Raw genomic sequence first — 19,742 nt, 5'->3', positions numbered from 1 at the left:
TCTGTGCTCAAGCAATCCTCCCACGTACGCTTCCCAAAGTGCTGAGATTACAGGCTCGAGCTACCACAACCAGCCAGTTACATGTCTTTTTATCATCTCTACTATCTTTGCGACTTCCTATGAATGTGTAATTATTTCATAATCTAAAGTTTTAAAAAGGCTGGGCATGGTGGCTCACACCTGTAATTCTGGCACTTTGGGAGGCCAAGGTAGGTGGATTGCCTGAGCTCAGGAGTTCGAGACCAGCCTCTCGAACACTGTCTCTTCTAAAAATACAAAAAACTAGCAGGACTTAGTGGCGCACATCTGTAATCTCAGCTACTCAGGAGGCTGAGGGATGACAATCGCTTGAACCAGGGAGGTGGAGGTTGCAGTGAGCCGAGATCGTGCCACTGCACTCCAGCTTGGGCTACAAAGCGAGACTCTGCCTCCAAAATAAATAAATAATAAAGTTTAGGCCAGGCACGGTGGCTCACGCCTGTAATCCCAGCACTTTGGGAGGCTGAGGCAGGTGGATCACCTGACGACAGGAGTTTGGGACCAGCCTGGCCAACATGGTGAAACCCCACCTCTACCAGAAAAACAAAAATTAGCGGGCATGGTGGTGGGTGCCAATAAAGTGGTTTTTTTGTTTTTTGTTTTTTGGTTTTTGTTTTGTTTTTTTTTTGAGACGGAGTCTCACTCTATCGCCCAGGCTGGAGTGCAGTGGCGCGATCTCAGCTCACTGCAAGCTTTGCCTCCCGGGTTCACGCCATTCTTCTGCCTCAGCCTCCTCAGTAGCTGGGACTACAGGTACCTGCCACCACGCCCGGCTAATTTTTTTTAATTTTTTTTTAGTAGAGATGGGGTTTCACCATGTTAGCCAGGATGGTCTCCATCTCCTGACCTCGTGATCCACCCCCCTTGGCCTCCCAAAGTGCTAGGATTACAGGCGTGAGCCACCTCGCCTGGCCAAAAATAAAGTTTAAAAAAGAAAAAGAAAATTGCTGCCTGGCCTTCCTCTTTCTTCCCCTGACTCCCATAAACTGGAAAACCAAGGTCAATGTCTACAGAATACAAGATGAAATTAACCTGGAATGTACACTGACCTCTCTGAGCTAAGTCTTCCTGCCAACTGTGTTGATCATCTCGAGGTTATCTGGGAGGGAGAAATAGCTTCTCCATTAAGCCACTGTACTGTGAAGTCGATTTGTTGGCAGCTTAGCCTGTACAGTTACTGTTAAAATCCCATTACTAAATAATATTAAGTTTCCTATTAAGTTTTCCATTAATTCAGGAATAAAGATGTATATTTCCAGTTTATTTCTCCTTCAACCATTTGAAATCTCTCAATAATTTCCTTTTTCATAAAATTTACCTTTTGTAACATTATCAATAGTGGGGTTAAGGGAAGGGGTGATGGTTAATGGGTACAAAATATGGAAAGAATGAGTAAGATCTAGTATTTGATATCAGTACAACAGGGTGATTATATTCAATAATAATTTAATTGTACTTGTTTTTCTCTCTTTTTTTTTGATACAGGGTCTGCCCTGTATAAAATCCAGGCTGGAGTGCGGTGATGTAAGATCATGGCTCACTGCAACCTCTGCCTCCCAGGCTCAAGCCATCGTTCCACCTCAGCTTTGCGAAGAGCTTTGCGATGATCCCCCAGAATCCACTGAAGAAAGCCAAATCTAGTCCAAATCCCTCTTTTTGCAAATGTGAAAACCGGGGTCCCGAGAGGGGAGATGACCTCGAGAAGTCACCTGGCCAGTTATTAGTACAGACAGGGCAGAACCCAGTTGTCCTCATTCTGGTACCACTCTAGGGATGCACTAAAATTCCACTTTGGCTTTAGTACTAGCCAAAACCTGCTATTTGGCATGGGCATCATCTGTTAGAAGGCAGAGGAATAAATCCTCAATTTAGCATCTTTTCTGCCATCACTTTCTCAGGTATGATTGATGATCAGTATTCACATAGGGTCCCATCTTATCTAAACAGCACAAAACCCACACTGACACAAACAAGATATTTCCTTTGCATTTACTGTTAATATTTGCATATTTGTTTTCAAACTAGAGGTAAACATTCAAGGTGCAATTTAAAGTTAAAAAATACAGATAAGTAAATGTATATTTTCTACTGCTAGAGTAAGAAGCAATATTTTTTTTAAAAAATTGTATTTTTAATTTTAGTGGGTACATAGCAGTTATATATATTTAAGGGATAGATACTTTTGTGTTGCAGACAATCCAATTATACTCTTTTAATTATTTTAAATTGAGGATTTATTCCTCTGCCTTCTAACAGATGATGCCCATGCCAAATAGCAGGTTTTGGCTAGTACTAAAGCCAAAGTGGAATTTTAGTGCATCCCTAGAGTGGTACCAGAATGAGGACAACTGGGTTCTGCCCTGTCTGTACTAATAACTGGCCAGGTGACTTCTCGAGGTCATCTCCCCTCTCGGGACCCCAGTTTTCACATTCGCAAAAAGAGGGATTTGGACTAGATTTGGCTTTCTTCAGTGGATTCTGGGGGATCATCGATTTTGGGAACTCATACTTGAGAGAGGTAGGGGTGTGTGTGTCTATGTGTGTGTGTGTATACATATATATTTTATTTATTTATTTTATTATTTATTATTATTTTTTTGAAATGGAGTCTCCCTCTGTCTCCCAGGCTGGAGTGCAGTGGTGTAATCTTGGCTCATTGCAACCTCCACCCCCCAGGTTCAAGCAATTCTCCTGCCTCAGCCTCCCGAGTAGCTGGGATTACAGGCATGCGCCACGAGGCCCGGCTAATTTTGTATATTTTGTAGAGACAGGGTTTCTCCATGTTGGTCAGGTTGGTCTCGAACTCCCAACCTCAGGTGATCCGCCCGCCTCAGCCTCCCAAAGTGCTGGGATTACAGGCATGAGCCACTGCGCCCAGCCTCTGAGATATATTTGGTTGCACCCCGACTGCGTTTTATAAAAATGTAAATCAGTTGCCAACATTTTAAAATAGGAAGACTTTGTCTTTAAAAAATTTAGATTTTGGGCTTCTCATGAAATATCACATGATACGGCAACCCTGGACCTCCATTCCTGCCAGGCTGCCATCGCGGGAGCTATGTGGCCGCTGCCCTCTTACAGGAGGTCCCAGTTCTCTCAGTGTATGCAGCCCGTCTGGTCTTGGTGGGCATTTCAGTTCTCAACTCTTGCTCCATGCTAACAAGACTGTAATCAGGAATAGAAAAATCAGGCCAGGCATGGTGGCTCATGCCCATTATCCCAGCACTTTGGGAGGCCGAGGCAGGAGGATTGCTTGAGGCCAGGAGTTCCACACCAGCCTTGGCAACATAGCCAGACCCCATTGTATAAAAAATTAAAAATCAGGCCAGGCATGGTGGCTCACGCCTGTAATCAGAGCACTTTGGGAGGCAGAGGTGGGTCGATCACCTGAGGTCAGGAGTTCGAGACCAGCCTGGCCAACATGGTGAAACCCCATCTCTACTAAAAATATAAGAATTAGCCAGGTGTGGTGGCGGGCACCTGTATTCCCAGCTGCTCAGAAGGCTGAGGCAGGAGAATTGCTTGAACTTGGGAGGCGGAGGTTGCAGTGAGCTGAGATCGTGCCATTGCACTCCAGCCTGGGCAACAGAGCAAGATTCCATCTCAAAAGAAAAAAAAAAAAGACTTGAATGGCCATCTCACTAAAGGATATTTGAATGGCCAATAAATGTATGAAAATGTGCTTCACCTTCTTCGTTGTTCTTAGTCATCAGGAAAATGCAAAGTAAAACCACAACAGAATGCACAGCCACCAAAATGGCTAAAATTAAAAAGACTGACCATCAGCTGGGCATGGTGGCTCACGCCTGTAATCCCAGCACTTTGGGAGGCTGAGGCAGGCAGATCACCTGAGGTCAGGAGTTCGAGACCAGCCTGGCCAACATGGCGAAACCCCGTCTCTACTAAACATACAAAAATTAGCTGAGCGTGGTGGTGTGCGCCTGTAATCCCAGCTACTTGAGAGGCTGACACAGGAGAATTGCTTGAACTCAGGAGGCGGGGGTTGCAGTGAGCAGAGATCGCGCCACTGCACTCCAGCCTGGGCGACAGAGTGGGACTCTGTCTCAAACAAAACAAAACAAAACAAAAAACCTGACCATCGCAAGGGTGGGGTGCACAGTAACTGAATCTCTGGTACACTGCTAGTGGGAATATAAAACGATACAAACGGGCAGTCTCTACTAAAGTTAGATATGCACTCACTTGGCCGGGCGCATGGCTCACACATGTAATCCAAACACTTTGGGCAGCCAAGGCAGGAGGACTGCTTGAGCCTAGGAGTTGGAGACCAGCCTGAGCAACATAGCGGGACCTTGTCTCAATTAACAACAACAGATACATATATATGTAAAATAAAATATATACCCTTACTCTATGATTGGACAGCTTCACTCCTGCGTGGGTGTAAACCACCAGAAACAAGCGCATATGTCCACCAAATATGTGTACTAGAAACTTGAGAACACCACCATTTATTTTATGTATTTATTTATTTAAGACAGAGTCTCACTCTGTTACCCAGGCTAGAGTCCAGTGGCACTATCTTGGCTCACCGCAACCTCCACCTCCTGGGTTCAAGTGATTCTCCTGCCTCAGCGTCCTGAGTAGCTGGGATTACAGGCATGCACCACCACACCCAGCAAACTTTTTTGTATTTTTAGTAGAAATGGGGTCTCACTGTATTGCCCAGGCTGGTCTTGAACTCCTGGACTCAAGTAATCCGCCTGCCTTGGCCTCCCAAAGTGCTGGGATTACAGGCATGAGCCACCACACCTGGCCCAACACCACCATTTATAGTAGCCCCAAACTAGCAGCAACCCAAATGCTTATCAACAGGTGAATGCACAAACACACTGTGGTACATTCACACCACGCAACACTATACAGCAAGGAGAAGGACCACCCCACAAGCACAGGGAGACATGGATGAATCTCCCACAAGCATAATGTTGAGTGAATAATGCCGGACATAAAACAACACACAATGCATTATTCCATTTACAGAAAGTTAAAACACCAGCAAAATGAAGCTGAGCTGTTAGAAGTTAAGAGAGTACACCCTTGGACTGTAGTGATAGGGAGGTGGCATGAGGATGCTTTTCTGGAGCTGTCATATGTCACATTCTGTTTGTTTGTTTTTTAGAGATGGTATCTCATTCTGTTGCCCAGGTTGGAGGGCAGTGGCACCTTCTTAGGTCACTGCAGCCTGGAACTCGGGCTCAAGCAATCTTCCCACCTCAGTCTTTTGAGTAGCTAGGACTACAGGCTCATGCCACCACACCCAGCTAATTTTTTTTTTTTTTTTTTTGAGACGGAGTCTCTCTCTGTTAACCCCGGCTGGAGTGCAGTGGCTTGATCTCCGCTCATTGCAAGCTCCGCCTCCCAGGTTCACACCATTCTCCTGCCTCAGCCTCACGTGCAGCTGGGACTACAAGTGCCCACCACCACGCCCAGCTAATTTTCTGTATTTTTAGTAAAGACAGGGTTTCACTGTGTTAGCCAGGATGGTCTCAATCTCCTGACCTCGTGATCCATCCGCCTCTGCCTCCCAAAGTGCTGGGATTACAGGCGTGAGCCACCACGCCTGGCCCCACCCAGCTAATTTTTAATTTTTTTTTTTTGTAGAGACGGGGTCTCTCTATGTTGCCCAGACTGGTCTTGAACTCCTGGCCTCAAGTGATCATCATGCCTCAGTTTCCCAACGCACTCGGATTACAGGCATGAGTCACCACACCCCATTGTATATTCTGTTTTTTAATATGGGTGCTGGTTACAAGAGAGTACTCATTTGTGGAAATATTGGCATGATTTATCTGCCATTCTGTGTCATGAACTACTTTAATAATAAAAAGTTAAATATATATATATATATATATATATATATGCTTACTCATTAGCAATGCACATTTTGCAAAATTATTCTCATGCAAAGAAAAAGATTCACATTAAAAACTATCTGAATGGGGTCAGAAGCAGTGGCTTCCCAACACTTTGGGAGGTCGAGGTGGGAGAATTGCTTGGGCCCAGGAGTTCAAGACCAGCCTAGGCAACATAGCAAGACCCCATCTTTATTTAAAAAACAAAACAAAACAATGTCAGTGGTTGCCTACAGGGGAGAAGAAATTGATTTGAGATTTGGGAATAAAAGAGAATTGGAGAGAGGCGTCACACAGATCAATGACAGTAGTGAGCCACAAACTGTGGAGGGTGAGTAGGAGAACACACTGAACGTGGGGTCCAAACAATTTTCCTTAATGTTGAAAACATTGATAGAGACAGGGTCTCACTATGTTGTCCAGGTCGGTCTCAAACTCCTGGGCTCAAGTGATGCTCCCATCTCAGCCTCAGTGCTAGGATTACAGGCAACCTGGGAGGTCGAGGCTGCAGTGAGCCGTGATAGCACCACTGCACTCCAGCCTGGGTGACAGAGTGAGACTCTGCCTCAAAATAAAAGCGGGAGAAAAACCATGAGAGAGCTGGGCAAAGGGATGCAAAAGAAATGCAGCGTAGTGGTCTACGTCATATTTGCACTTTGAGTGGCAAGGTGGTTTCAGCAGGAGAGCAGCATCATGAAGTTACTATTAAGCTGAATGTTACTGGTTTGGGGTCTGGAGTTCCTCTATAAATGTGTTTTACTTGTAGAGCTATATGTGAACCCTAAGCATGGGAGATTTAAGCAGAGTTGTGCATTTGTGAGCATTTATGAAAGTCATACAGGCCGGGCGTGGCTCACGCCTGTAATCCCAGCACTTTGAGAGGCTGAGGCAGGTGGACCACTTGAGGTCAGGAGTTGAAGACCAGCCTGGCCAACATGGTGAAACCCCATCTCTACTAAAAATACAAAATATTAGCTGGGCGTGGTGACGGGCGCCTGTAATACCAACTACTCGGGAGGCAGAGGAAGGAGAACAGCTTGAACCCAGGAGGCAGAGGTTGTAGTAAGCCAAGATCGTGCCATTGCACTCCAGCCTGGGTGACAGAGCGAGACTCTGTCTCAAAAAAAATAAAATAAAATAAAATTTCTTAAGGTGGGATCTCACTCTGTTGCCCAAGCTGGAAGGTTGGAATGCAGTGGTGCCATCATAGATCACTGCCTTCAATTCCTGGGCTCAAGCGATCCTCCTGCCTCAGCCTCCAGAGTAATATAGGCACATGCCACTGTGGCCAGTTAATTTTTAAAGTTTTGTGCATACAGGATCTTGCTTTGTTGCCCAAACTGGAGAGGATTTTTTTTTTTTATCTTAAAGGGGATTTCTACATTTCCCTGGGCAAGATGCTCTCAGAAGCATGGTTCTAAGATTTGGAGAGTCCTTAATTCTCATCTTACCATATCCCACCTCTGCTTAAAATCTTCCCACCTCTGCTTAAAATCTTTCCATAGCTCCCTGGTACCCCGCAAGGCCCTTTAAGAGCTGGCTTCTGCCAGGCTCAGTGGCTTATGCTTGTAATCCCAGCACTTTGGGAAGCTGAGGCAGGTGGGTCACCTGATGTCAGGAGTTCGAGACCAGCCTGGCCAACATGGTGAAACCCCCATCTCTACTAAAAATACAAAAATTAGCCAGGCAAGGTGACAGGCGCCTGTAATCCCAGCTACTCAGGAGGCTGAGGCAGGAGAATCGCTTGAACCCAGGAGGCGGAGGTTGCAGTGAGCCGAGACTGCGGCATTGCACTCCAGCCTGGACAACAAGAGCGAAACTCCGTCTCAAAAAAAAAGGATCTGGCTTCCACTGGCTCCTCTCCCATCATCATTTACTCCTCACCTGTATCCTTCTCAGTCAAGCCACTCCCAGCTTCTGGAGGCCTTGCATATGCAGTTCCCTCTACCTAGAATACTCTTCCACTCTTCACTCCAGTGTTCATGCCAATTCATCCTTTAGGCCTGAAGTTAGGCCTCTCCTTCTCCAAGAAGCCCTCCTTGATTCTCCAGGCTGGATCAAGTACATCCTATGGGCTCCCACAGTCCTTGGGCTTCCCCATCACAGCCTGATGCTTGTGCCTTTCTGTCAACAGCCCCAACCTCTCTGCCTGTGCCTCCCCTACCCTGTCTCTGACCCCTCTGGGTCATCATTGTCTAACCGGATCTCTCTCTCTCACTGACCTATGAGTCCTGTGGGGGCAGGACCCAGGCTGCCTCAGTCACCACTATGCCCCTCATGTTGTCCAGCATGAGCCAGGCACACAGCAGGCACTGAATTAATATTTTCTAGATAAAATAAATTCCAGTGGTTCACACCTGTAATCCCAACACTTTGGGAGGCCAAGGTGGGAGGATCACTTGAGTCCAGGAGTTCAAGTTCAGCCTGGAAAATATTGCGAGACCCTGTCTCTATAAAAAAATAAAATAATAAGAAAATTAGCTGGGCATGATGGTGCATGCCTGTAGTCTCAGCTACTTGGGAGGCTACGGTGGGAGGATTGCTCAAGCCCAGGAGTTGGAGGTTGTAGTGAGCTATGATTTTTATCACCACACTCCAGCCTGGCAGCAGTCCAAATAATAATAATGATAATGATAATAATAATAATAATAATAATAAATTCTACAGCTGGGAGTGGTGGTACACATCTGTAATCCCAGCTACTCAGAAGGATGAGTTGACACCGGGAGTTTGAGACCTGTCTAGGCAACATGGAGAGACCCCCTCCTCCTCAAAAAACAAACAAAAACTAAAAACAGGACGGGCGCGGTGGCTCATGCCTGTAATTCCAGCACTTTGGGAGGCCAAGGCGGGCAGATCACGCGGTCAGGAGATCAAAACCATCCTGGCTAACACAGTGAAACCCCATCTCTGCTAAAAATACAAAAAATTAGCGGGGCATGGTGGCAGGCGCCTGTAGTCCTAGCTACTCGGGAGGCTGAGGCAGGAGAATGGCATGAACCCAGGAGGCGGAGCTTGCAGTGAGCCGAGATAGTGTCACTGCCCTCCAGCCTGGGCGACAGAGCAAGACTCCTTCTCAAAAACAAAAACAAACAAACAAAACTAAAAACAAACTCACTTACACTAAATTAGTAAATTCTAGAATTCTAAGTTGATATGTTCCTACCTTTTTAAGGTTCTAAGGCTCTAAAAGTATGACTGTAAGTTTCCATGAGTGTATGTTTTCATCAGTCTAGGTTTCTAGATCAGACAAAGCTGGCAATCCACCAGTTGAATCTGGTTCATACTTTGTGGCATATACAGATTTCTCTCTCTCTCTCTTTTTTTTTTTTTTTTTTGAGACAGAGTTTTGCTATTGACGCCCAGGCTGGAGTACAATGGCACGATCTAGGCTCACTGCAACCTCCGCCTCTGAGGTTCAGGCGATTCTCCTGCCTCATCCTCCTGAGTAGCTGGGATTAGAGGCACGCGCCACCACACCCAGCTAATTTTTGTATTTTTAATAGAGACAGGGTTTTGCCGTGCTGGCCAGGCTGGTCTCAAACACCCAACCTCCAGTGATCCCCCCACCTTGGCCTCCCAAAGCGCTGGGATTATAGGCGTGAGCTACCGCGCCTAACCAGGTTTCTTATTGTTTTGAGACAGGGTCTCAACCTGTTGCCCAGGCTGGAGTGCAGTGGCACAATCTCGGCTCACTGCAACCTCTGCTTCCCGGGCTCAGGAGATTCTCCCACCTCAGCCTGTTGACTAGCTGGAACTACAGGCATGCGCCACCACACCTGGCTAATGTTTATATTTTTAGTAGAGACGGGGTTTCACCATGTTGGCCAGGCTGGTCTCGAACTCCTGGGCTCAAGCGATCCGCCCGCCTCGGCCTCTCAAAGTGCTGGGACTACAGGTTTCTAGATCAGCCAGGTTTCTTGAGCCAGCGCCATGGCTCATGCCTGTAATCCTAGCATTTTGGGAGGCCAAGGTGGGCAGATTGCCCGAGCCCAGGAGTTCAAGACCAGCCTGGCCATCATGGTGAAACCCCGCCTCAATTAAAAATACAAAAATTAGCCAGGCATGGTGGTGCGGGCCTGTAGTCCCAGCTACTCGGGACTCCCGAGGCGGGAGAATCTCATGAACCTGGGAGGTGGAGGTTGCAGTGAGCTGACATTGCGCCACTGCACTCCAGCCTGGGCAACAGAGTGAGACTCCACCTCAAATAAATAAATAAATAAATAAAGTTCCAAAAATCTTAGTATCAGAGATCCATCTTGTGATTATAAACTGCTGAGTTACTAAAGTTCTAAGATTTGGAGGGAACTGATTCTGACCTTTGGGTTTTAAGAATTCATGATTATGATCATCTATATTTTATGATTCTAGCGCTCCGTGTTTCTAAGATGTTAAGGTCCCAAGGGTCAAAGGTGCTAGGGTGTCATGTTTTAAAGGCTTATGATTATGACGTTCCATATCTCTGAGGCTCCTCAGGGTCTTTGCCAGTTTTAATGCTGATGATTAAACACTTCTAAGGTTCCAGACCTCTATGAATACTAAGTACTAAGGTTCAAGGGTCTACAGTTCTAAAGGTCTAAGGTCTTTCTATAACTATAAAGTTCTCTGGTCTTTGCTAATATTGTTCTGATACATCAAAGTAGGGTGACTACTAGGCACTCTGGCTTACCCCTGTAATCAAAGCACTTTCGGAGGCCGAGGTGGGAGGGTTATTTTAGCCCAGGAGTTCCACACCAGCCTGGGCAACATAGCAAGACCCCATCTTACAAAAAAATTTTTTTGTTTTGTTTTGAGACGGAGTTAAGCTCTTGTCACTTAGGATGGATTGAAATGGTGTGATCTCAGCTCACTGAAACCCCCATCTCCCGGGTTCAAGTGATTCTCCTGCCTCAGCCTCCTGGGTAGCTGAGATTACAGGTGCCCACCACCACACCCATCTAATTTTTGTATTTTTAGTAGTGTCACCATATTGGTCAGGCTGGTCTCAAACTCCTGATCTCAAGTGATCCATCCGCCTCAGCCTCCCAAAGTGCTGGGATTACAGGCATCCGCCACCATGCTTCGCCAAAAAAAAAAATTATTTTTAATTAGCCAGGCATGGTGGCGCATGCCTGTAGTTCCAGCTATTCAGGAGGCTGAGGTGGGAGGATCACTTGAGTCCAGGAGTTCAAGGCTGCAGTGAGCCATGATCACACCACTGCACTCCAGCCTGGGTGAAGAGTGAGACCCTGACTCAAAAAAAAAAAAAAAATGGTAGGGTGACCCACTGTACTGGTTGGCCCAAGGCTGAGAGTTTCGGTGGTAAAAGCAGGAAGGTTTTGGTCACTCTATGTCAGATTTCTCAAGATCCACATTTCTAATTGGAAACTCCAAAGGTTTAGTATTATCAAGTCCCAAAGGTTCCTGTGTATTACAGTTTCAGTTTCTAAGGGCCTATGATCCTAGGGAACAATGACTAAAATTTCTTAGGTCTGTGATGATAACGTTTCACATTTCCAAAGCTCTTTTTTTTTTTTTTTTTTTTTTTTTTTTGAGATAGGTTCTTGCTTTACTGCTGGGGCTGGAGTGCAGTGGCGCGATCTTGACTCACTGCAATCTCCACCTCACAGTCTCAGGCCATCCTCCCACCTCAGCCTCCCAAATAGCTGGAACTACAGATGCATGCCACCACGCCTGGCTAATTTTTTTTTTTATTTTTATTTTTAGTAGAGACAGGGTTTCACTATGTTGGCGAACATGGTCTCGAACTCCTGCACTCAAGAGATCTGTCCACCTTTGCCTCCCAAAGTGCTGGGATTACAGGCGTGAGCCACCGCGCCAGGCCAGAGGTCTTCATTTCAAGAGGTCTAAGAATCTCTTAGACATTTCAAGTTCCAAGGATCTGATGGCTCTGCATTTCGGGATTCTAAGGGAATATGCTTACAGAGTCCCACCATTCTGGGACTGTACATTTCTAAGGCTCTAAGGCTGTGCTGACCTATACAGCAGTCACAAGCCACATGTGGCTATTTAAATTTAATTAAAACAGGCCGGGTGCCGTGGCTCATGCCTGTAATCTCAGCACTTTGGGAGGCCGAGACATGTGGATCACCTGAGGTTGGGAGTTCGAGACCAGCCTGACCAACATGGAGAAACCCCGTCTCTAGTAAAAATACAAAATTAGCTGGGCGTGGTGGCACATGCCTGTAATCCCAGCTACTAGGGAGGCTGAGGCAGGAGAATCGCTTGAACCTGGGAGGTGGAGGTTGCGGTGAGCCGAGATCGCGCCACTGCACTCCAGCCTGGGCAACAAGAGCGAAACTCCGTCTCAAAAAAAAAAAAAAAAAAAACACCAGGCCAGGTGCAGTGGCTCATGCCTGTAATCCCAGCACTTTGGGAAGCCAAAGCAAGTGGATCACTTAAGATCAGAAGTTCAAAACCAGCCTGGCAAACACAGTGAAACCCGGTGTCTACTAAAAATACAAAAAGAATTAGCCGGGTGTGGTGGCGGGCACCTGTAGTCCCAGCTAGTCAGGGGGCTGAGGTAGGAGGATGGCTTGAGCCGGTGAGGTGGAGATTGCAGTGACCCAAGATCTCACCACTACACCCCAGCCGGGGCAACAGAATAAGACTCTGTCTCAAAAAATATATATATAAATAAATTTAATTAAAACTAAATAAAATTTAAAACTCAAAGGCTGTCACATAGCACTGGCCACATTTCTAGCATTCAAAAGTCACAGAGACTAGTGATTATTATATGGTACATTATGGATATAGACTATTTCCACCATCATGGAAAGTTCTATTGGACAGTGCTGGTCTCTTTTCCCACCCTCCCAGCCACCAAGGTTCTCGGGCACCCTTCCCCCTTCCCCCTCCTCCTCATCCCACCCCAGCCCTCCTCCAGGTACCTGCCAAGGCCTTGATCCGGGAGCACTCAAAGAGCGAGGCCGCTGCGGTGGACGCAGCCGGCTGCTCCCGCTCCCAGCCCCGATCCGGACTCTCCCAGCGGGCAGCAGGGTTGTTGTTAGGAGCAGGCAGGCCCTCCATGTTGTCCACTTCCCCTGGTACCTGCGCCATCGGGGAAGGTGAGGCCTGGACATAGGGAGAGGTAGGTTAGGTCTAGGATCAAGTCTCATTTCTAACAGTGACTGGCTTTGAGTCCTGTCCCCTCTCTTGTCCTCAATTTCTCTGTCTTTAAAGTGGACATAATAACAATGATAAGGCCTAGGCACAGTGGCTCATGCCTGTAATCCCAGCACTTTGGGAGGCAGAGGCAGGAGAATCGCTTGAGCCCAGGGGTTGGAGACCAGCCTGGGCAACATAGCAAGATTTCATCTCTATAAAAATAAAAATAAGCCAGGCGCAGTGGCTCAGGCCTATAATCCCAACACTTTGAGAGGCTGAGGAGGGCGGATTGCTTGAGCCCAGGAGTTCGAGACAAGCCTGGGCAACATGGTGAAACCCTGTCTCTACAAAAAAATACAAAAATTGGCCAGGCACGGTGGCTCACACCTATAATCCCAGCACTTTGGGAGGCAGAGGCGGGCGGATCACCTGAGGTTGGGAGTTCGAGATCAGCCTGACCAACATGGAGAACGCTGTCTCTAATAAAAATACAAAATTCTCCAGGCGAGGTGGAGTATGCCTGTAATCCCAGCTACTCGGGAGGCTGAGGCAGGAGAAGCGCTTGAACCCGGGAGGCGGAGGTTGTGGTGAGCCAAGATCATGCCATTGCACTCCAGCCTGGGCAACAAAAGCGAAACTCTGTCTCAAAAAAAAAAAAAAAAAAAAAATAGCTGGATGTGGTGGCAACGTGCCTGTAATCCCAGCTACTCAGGAGGCTGAGGTGTGAGGATGGCTTGAGCCTGTGAAGTGGAGGTTGCAGTGAGCCAAGATAGCGCCACTGCACTCCAGCCTGGGCAGCAGAGCCAGAAACTGTCTTTTAAAAAAATTTAAAAATTAGCCAAATGTGGTGGTTGCCACCCGTAGTCCCAGCTATTTAGGAGGCTGAGGCAGGAAGATGGCTTGAGCCCAAGAAGCCAAGGCTACAGTGATCTATAATAGTGACACTGCACTCCAAACTGGGCAATATGGCGATACCCTATTTCTAAATAATAATAATAATAATGTTCACCCTCACCACTTCACAGGATGTGATAAAACACATGGCTTAGCCCCTGGCACATATTAAGGGCTCAGCAAATTGTCACTGTTATTATTAGAACAATAGAGTTCTGTAATGCAGTAATAACAATAATGAACATATTGAACACTTGCACTGTGGTCAGTACTTCATGTACCTTCTCTTATTATTTCCACAAATTTAATTCCCTAACAGTTGGCTATTATTACACCTATTTTACAGAGGAGGAAACTGAGGCACAGAGGAGTTGATCTATTTTTCCAAGGTTACACAGCCAGTTAGTATCTAGGATTCAAACATAGATGATAGGGCCAGGCGCGGTGGCTCATGCATGTAATCCCAGCACTTTTTGGGGCTGAGATGGGTAGATCACCTGAGGTCAGGAGTTCAAGACCGGCCTGGCCAACATGGTGAAACCCTGTCTCTAAAAATACAAAAATTAGCTGGGCGTGGTGTCACACACTTGTAATCCCAGGTATTCAGGAGGCTGAGGCAGGAGAATCACTTGAACCTGGGAGGTGGAGGCTGCAGTGAGCCGAGATCATGCCAATGCACTCCAGCCTGGGAGACAGAGCAAGACTCCGTCTCAAAAAAAAAAAAGGTGATAGAATATTTGCATTAATGGGGCTGGGCACAGTGGGTCCTGCCTGTAATCCCAGCACTTTGGGAGGCCGAGGCAGGCGGATCACGAGGTGAGGAGTTCGAGACCAGCCTGGCCAACATGGTGAAACCCGGTCTCTACTGAAAATACAAAAATTAGCTGGGTGTGGTTTCGGGCTACTGTAATCTCAGCTACTCAGGAGGCTGAGGGAGGAGAATCGTTTGAACCCAGGAGGCGCAGGTTGCAATGAGCTGAGATTGTGCCACTGCACTCTATCCTGGGCGACAGAGTAAGACTCATTCTCAAGAAAAAAAGAAGAAGAAGAAGAAGAAAAATTTAAAGTGGAGGGGGCAGGCACAGTGGCTCATACCTGTAATCCCAGCACTTTGGGAGGCCAAGGCAGGCAGATCGCTTGAGGTCAGGAGTTCAAGACCAGCCCGGCCAACATGGTGAAACCCCATCTCTACTAAAAATACAAAAATGAGCTGGGCATGGTAGTGCATGCCTGCAATCCCAGCTACTCAGGAGGCTGAGGCAGGAGAATCGCTTGAACCTGGGAAGGCAGAGGTTGCAGTGAGCCAAGATGGCACCACTGCACTCCGGCTTGGGCAACAGGGCGAGACACCATCTCAAACAAAAATAAAAAAATAAAAATAGGCCGGGCACGGTGGCTCATGCCTGTTATCCTGGCACTTAGGGAGGCCAAGGCGGGTGGATTGCCTGAGCTCAGGGGTTCGAGACCAGTCTGGGCAACTTGGTGAAACTCCATCTCTACTAAAATACAAGAAATTAGCCAGGCATGGCATTGTGCACCTATAATCCCAGCTACTCAGGAGACTGAGACAGTAGAATCGCTTGAACCTGGGAGACAGAGGTTGCAGTGAGCTGAGATCGTGCCACTGCACTCCAGCCTGGGCGACAGAGTGAGACCCCATCTCAGAAAAAATAAAATTAAATTAAATGAAAATAAAAAAATAGAAAACAAAAAATTATTTAAAAAAAGAAGAAATTGGCCGGGCACAGTGGCTCACACCTGTAATCCCAGCACTTTGGGAGGCCAAGGTGGGTGAATCACCTGAGGTCAGGAGTTCCAGACCAGCCTGGCCAACATGGTGAAACCCCGCCTCTACTAAAAATATAAAAACTAGCCGGGTATGGTGGTACATGCCTGTAATCCCAGCTACTCAGGAGGCTGAGACAGGAGAATTGCTTGAACCCAGGAGGCGGAGGTCGCAGTGAGCCGAGATCGCACCACTGCACTCTAGCCTGGGTGAGAGAGTGAGACTCCATCTCAAAAAAAACAAAAAAAAAGAGAAGAAATTTAAAGGGTTAAGTGACATTAGATGTATCTCCTTTACCTTCTGGGCCCCCAGGCCTGATTCTAAGACTAACGGCTGGGCGTGGTGGCTCACACCTGTAATCCTAGCACTTTGGGAGTCTGAGGCGGGTGGATCACGAGGTCAGGAGTTCAAGACCAGCCTGGCCAACATGGTGAAACCCCATCTCTACTAAAAACACAAAAATTAGGTGGGCAAGGTTGCAGGTGCCTGTAATCCCAGCTACTCAGGAGGCTGAGGCAGGAGAATTGCTTGAAACCGGGAGGCGAAGGTTGTAGTGAGCCGAGATTGTGCCACTAAACTCTAGCCTGGGCGACAGAGTAAGACTCCTTCTCAAAAGAAAAAGGAAAAAAAAAAGACTAACAAAGGAGGAAGTTGGGAGATCAATGTCCTCAAAAGACCCAGACAATTGCCAACCCACTGAATTCTAGGAAGGCAGGGTCTAAGTCTTGGTCAGTAGAGTGAGTAGAGTGGAAATTGTCCCTTAGGGGGACACATTGAAATCTTTTTTTTTTTTCTGAGACAAGGTATTGCTCTATCACCCAGGCTAGAGTGCAGTGACACAATCATAGCTCCCTGTAGCCTCCAACTCTTGTGCTCACGCGATCCTCCCACCTCAGCCTCCTGAGTAGATGGGACTAGAGGCAAGCTCCACCATGACCAGGTAATTTTTGTATTTTTTGTAGAGAGGGGGTCTCACTATGTTGCTCAGGCTGGTCTCAAACATCTGGGCTCAAGCTATTTGCCCACTTCAACTTCCCAAAGTGCTGGGGTTACACATGTGAGCCACTGTGCCCAGTCCCAAATCCATTTTTGTTCTTCCCTCCTTCCATGGAAAAGTGAAAGTGAGCACACAGCTACCTACCACCTGTGTGACCTTGGCTGAAATACTTCCACTCTTTGGGCCTTAGTTTGTTCATCTGCAAAATAGTAATGATGGCCCGGCACGGTGGCTCATGCTTATAATCTCAGCACTTTGGGAGGTCAAGGTAGGTGGATCACTTGAGGCCAGGAATTCGAGACCGGCCTGGCCAACATGGCAAAACCCGGTCTTTACTAAAAAAAATACAAAAATTAGCCAGGCGTGGTGGCACGTGTCTGTAGTCCCAGTTACTTGGGAGGCTGAGGCAGGAGAATCGCTTGAACCTGGGGGATGGAGGTTGCAGTGAGCTGAGATTGACTCACTGCACTCCAGCCTGAATGACAGAATGAAACTCTGTCACACACACACAAAAGGGTAGGCCAGGCGGTGGCTCACGCCTATAATCCCAGCACTTTGAGAGGCCAAGGAGGTGGGTGGGTCACCTGAGGTCAAGAGTTGGAGACCAGCCTTACCAACATAGTGAAACCCCATGTCTACTAAAAATTCAAAATTAGCCAGGCATGGTAGCTCATGCCCGTAATCCCAGCTACTTGGGAGGCTGAGGCAGGAGAACTGCTTGAAGTCGGGAGGCAGAGGTTGCAGTGAGCCAAGATCGCGCCATTACACTCCAACTTGGGTGACAAGAGTGAAACTCCGTCTCAAAAAAAAAAAAAAGTAATGATAATCGTACCCGTTTCTTAGCGGTGTTTGAAGAGGTAAGTTATTAATGCAGGGATCATGGTATCTGGTACACTGCAAGCCCTTGATACATGTTCCTTGCTATTATTCTTCATCTTTTCCTCACACATCTCAGCAAATCGATTTGCCTCTTCTGGAGTCAGACAGAAATGAGTTCAAGTTCCGCTTTATTCTTGCTGTATCTTTAACCGAGTATCTTTAACTTGGCCTTTCTGTGCCTCAGTTTCCCTCCCTGTTAAACGGTGGTTACAGCTGTTTTCTTCAGTGGAAGACACTTAGAGATGGGGAGGCCCTTAGCACTCCTGTTAGCCCTCTGGCCAGGCCGAGGATCAGCTCTGGCCATAACGCGATTGAATGGGAAGGAAGGGAGCAGGTAATAGGGAAGCCGGGAAGGGGTGTCCTGCGAGCCTCCCCCCAACACCCCCCCCCCCCCGCAAAGGCTGGTGGGGCGCTGGGCTGCGGTGGCATCAGAGGCTTTAACCCTTCCCAGGCCGCGCCTCTCTCCCTGCGGTCCAGACACTGCGCCCAAGGAGGGGGCCTGGGAAGGACAAGGCCTGGGGGTAAGACCCACGCGTGGCGCGGAAGCTAGACCGGGTGGGGGGGTTGTGGGCTCGTCCTGCCCTCGACCCTTTGCCTCCCTCCAGCCGGGGAGACCCGGGGCTCCAGCCATGCCCCGTGCGCGCGGAGGAGGGATGCTCGCCAGGTGGGGACATACTTGGGGGAGGGGCTGTCGGCCCCCCTAGCAGCTCACCTGGGCCCGCGGCCGCCAGCGTCGCTGTCTCCGCTGCTCGCCGCGACCGACCGCCCTCCCTGTCGGCGTCCGCTGCCCGGCCCGGCCCGGCCCGGCCCAGCCCGGCTCAGCTCGGCCCCGCCGGCCCGCGGCTCAGCCAGATCCGCATGCGCCGCCGCGCCTCCCTCTCTCGCGCCGCCGCCGCGCTCAGCGCGCCCCCGGGACCCCCTCCCGCCCGCGGTCCCCGCGCCCCGCCGCCCGAGGCCCACGCGCAGTCACACCCGGCCGCGGCGTGGGGTGCACGGCTGCACTCGCGAGGGCACGGCGGCGTCACGCGCTGCACACTCCCACGGGGTCACGCTCGCCACGCTGCCATACTCGCGGGGGCCTCGGCGCACAAACTCACCCCCGCATCCACGCGCTTGCGCGCCGTCACTCCCTCCTGTGGGGTCTCACGGGGTCACACCCTCACGCCGTCACACGCGGCGTCCACACTGGAACGGTGTCACCCACCACCACACAAATCCAATAGGGTAACCACCGCCCACGCGGCGTCACACACAAATGCACCTGTCACACACAGCCGCACACTCCCCGGCAGTCACAAACAGTGTCATAGGCCCACACATCACGCACAGCTTCACAGCCACAGTGTCACACACTCTACACACTCGAACCTTCATAGCAGTCGCCCCGCACATGCTGCACCGCCGCACCTCACACATCATAGTCACAGGGGGTCACAATGAGCAGCTCAACACAGACACCCACAGCCACACACTCGAATGGGGTCCCGGTGTCACACATCCTTACACGAGACATGTGGTGTCACACACTGTCACAGTCTAATTAGTCTCACGCTTCCATGTAGCACACCTCACACGTCCCACACCCTATCGTACAGGCTGACGCAGTGTCACCCACGGTGTCACCACAAGGTCACAAAAGAACAGAATCAATGCCTGCCACACGTGGTGTCACGCACGTGTAGTCACACTGTAACACGGGATCACACTCAGAGGATGACACAAGGTGTCACCCACAGTCCTGCTTGCCCTCCGGGTCACTGAGTCACACAGGGTCATATAAGTGCATAGGTACGCCGTGACACAGTGTCTTACATCCAAGTGCACACACACACTCTGTCCTCCTAACTTTCTCCCCTTGCTGGTTCTGGGAGGCCCTGGGGCTTAGAGTGCGCCCCAGATCCGCTCCAGGCTCCGGGAGAGGGGGCGTGAGCTACGAGAGGCCGTGGGTGAGGCTCGCCTGGCCCCGCCCCTCTCCGGGAGGTGGAGCGCGGAGGCAGGGCGCTGAGTGACAAGTTATCTCGGCTCCGTCCACTCTATTTGTTGCTATGTGGAGGCGTGGCCTTCTGTGGCCCCGCCTTCCAGTCTAAGTGGCGCGCAGAGAGGGCGGTGCTGGACGGTGAGCGAATGCAAGCTGACGCCTGCCCCGCCCATCCGCGTTAGG

At 48.9% G+C, this 19,742-nt stretch overlaps 1 protein-coding gene across 5 annotated transcripts in view, besides 1 other annotated feature; it reads right to left on the bottom strand.

Annotated features, from left to right (window-relative positions):
- The window catches only part of SPTBN4 (spectrin beta, non-erythrocytic 4), a 109,464-nt gene extending 90,866 nt beyond the window's left edge, over nucleotides 1-18,598 (bottom strand). For 3 of the 5 annotated variants that reach the window (NM_020971.3, XM_017027051.2, XM_017027052.2), the window contains exons 1-2: nucleotides 18,294-18,598; nucleotides 12,809-12,992 (exon numbers count right to left, since the gene is read on the bottom strand). In NM_020971.3, coding sequence (NP_066022.2) covers nucleotides 12,809-12,977 — 169 coding nt within the window. In that variant the 5' untranslated portion in view covers nucleotides 12,978-12,992; nucleotides 18,294-18,598. Of the gene's footprint in view, nucleotides 1-12,808; nucleotides 12,993-17,534; nucleotides 17,876-18,293 lie in introns of those variants that run through there. The other 2 variants (XM_017027049.2, XM_017027050.2) reach the window with 2 other exon arrangements.
- Nucleotides 19,440-19,639: a silencer, noted in NCBI's record as "silent region_10630". NCBI's record gives its function as "represses an Ori minimal core promoter by ATAC-STARR-seq in GM12878 lymphoblastoid cells {active_cell/tissue: GM12878}" and the evidence as "EXISTENCE:reporter gene assay evidence [ECO:0000049][PMID:35858748]".

Source organism: Homo sapiens, chromosome 19 (genome assembly GCF_000001405.40).
Source record: "Homo sapiens chromosome 19, GRCh38.p14 Primary Assembly".
Classification (NCBI taxonomy): Eukaryota; Metazoa; Chordata; class Mammalia; order Primates; family Hominidae; genus Homo; species Homo sapiens.
This window is presented reverse-complemented; position numbering and strand designations above follow the sequence as displayed.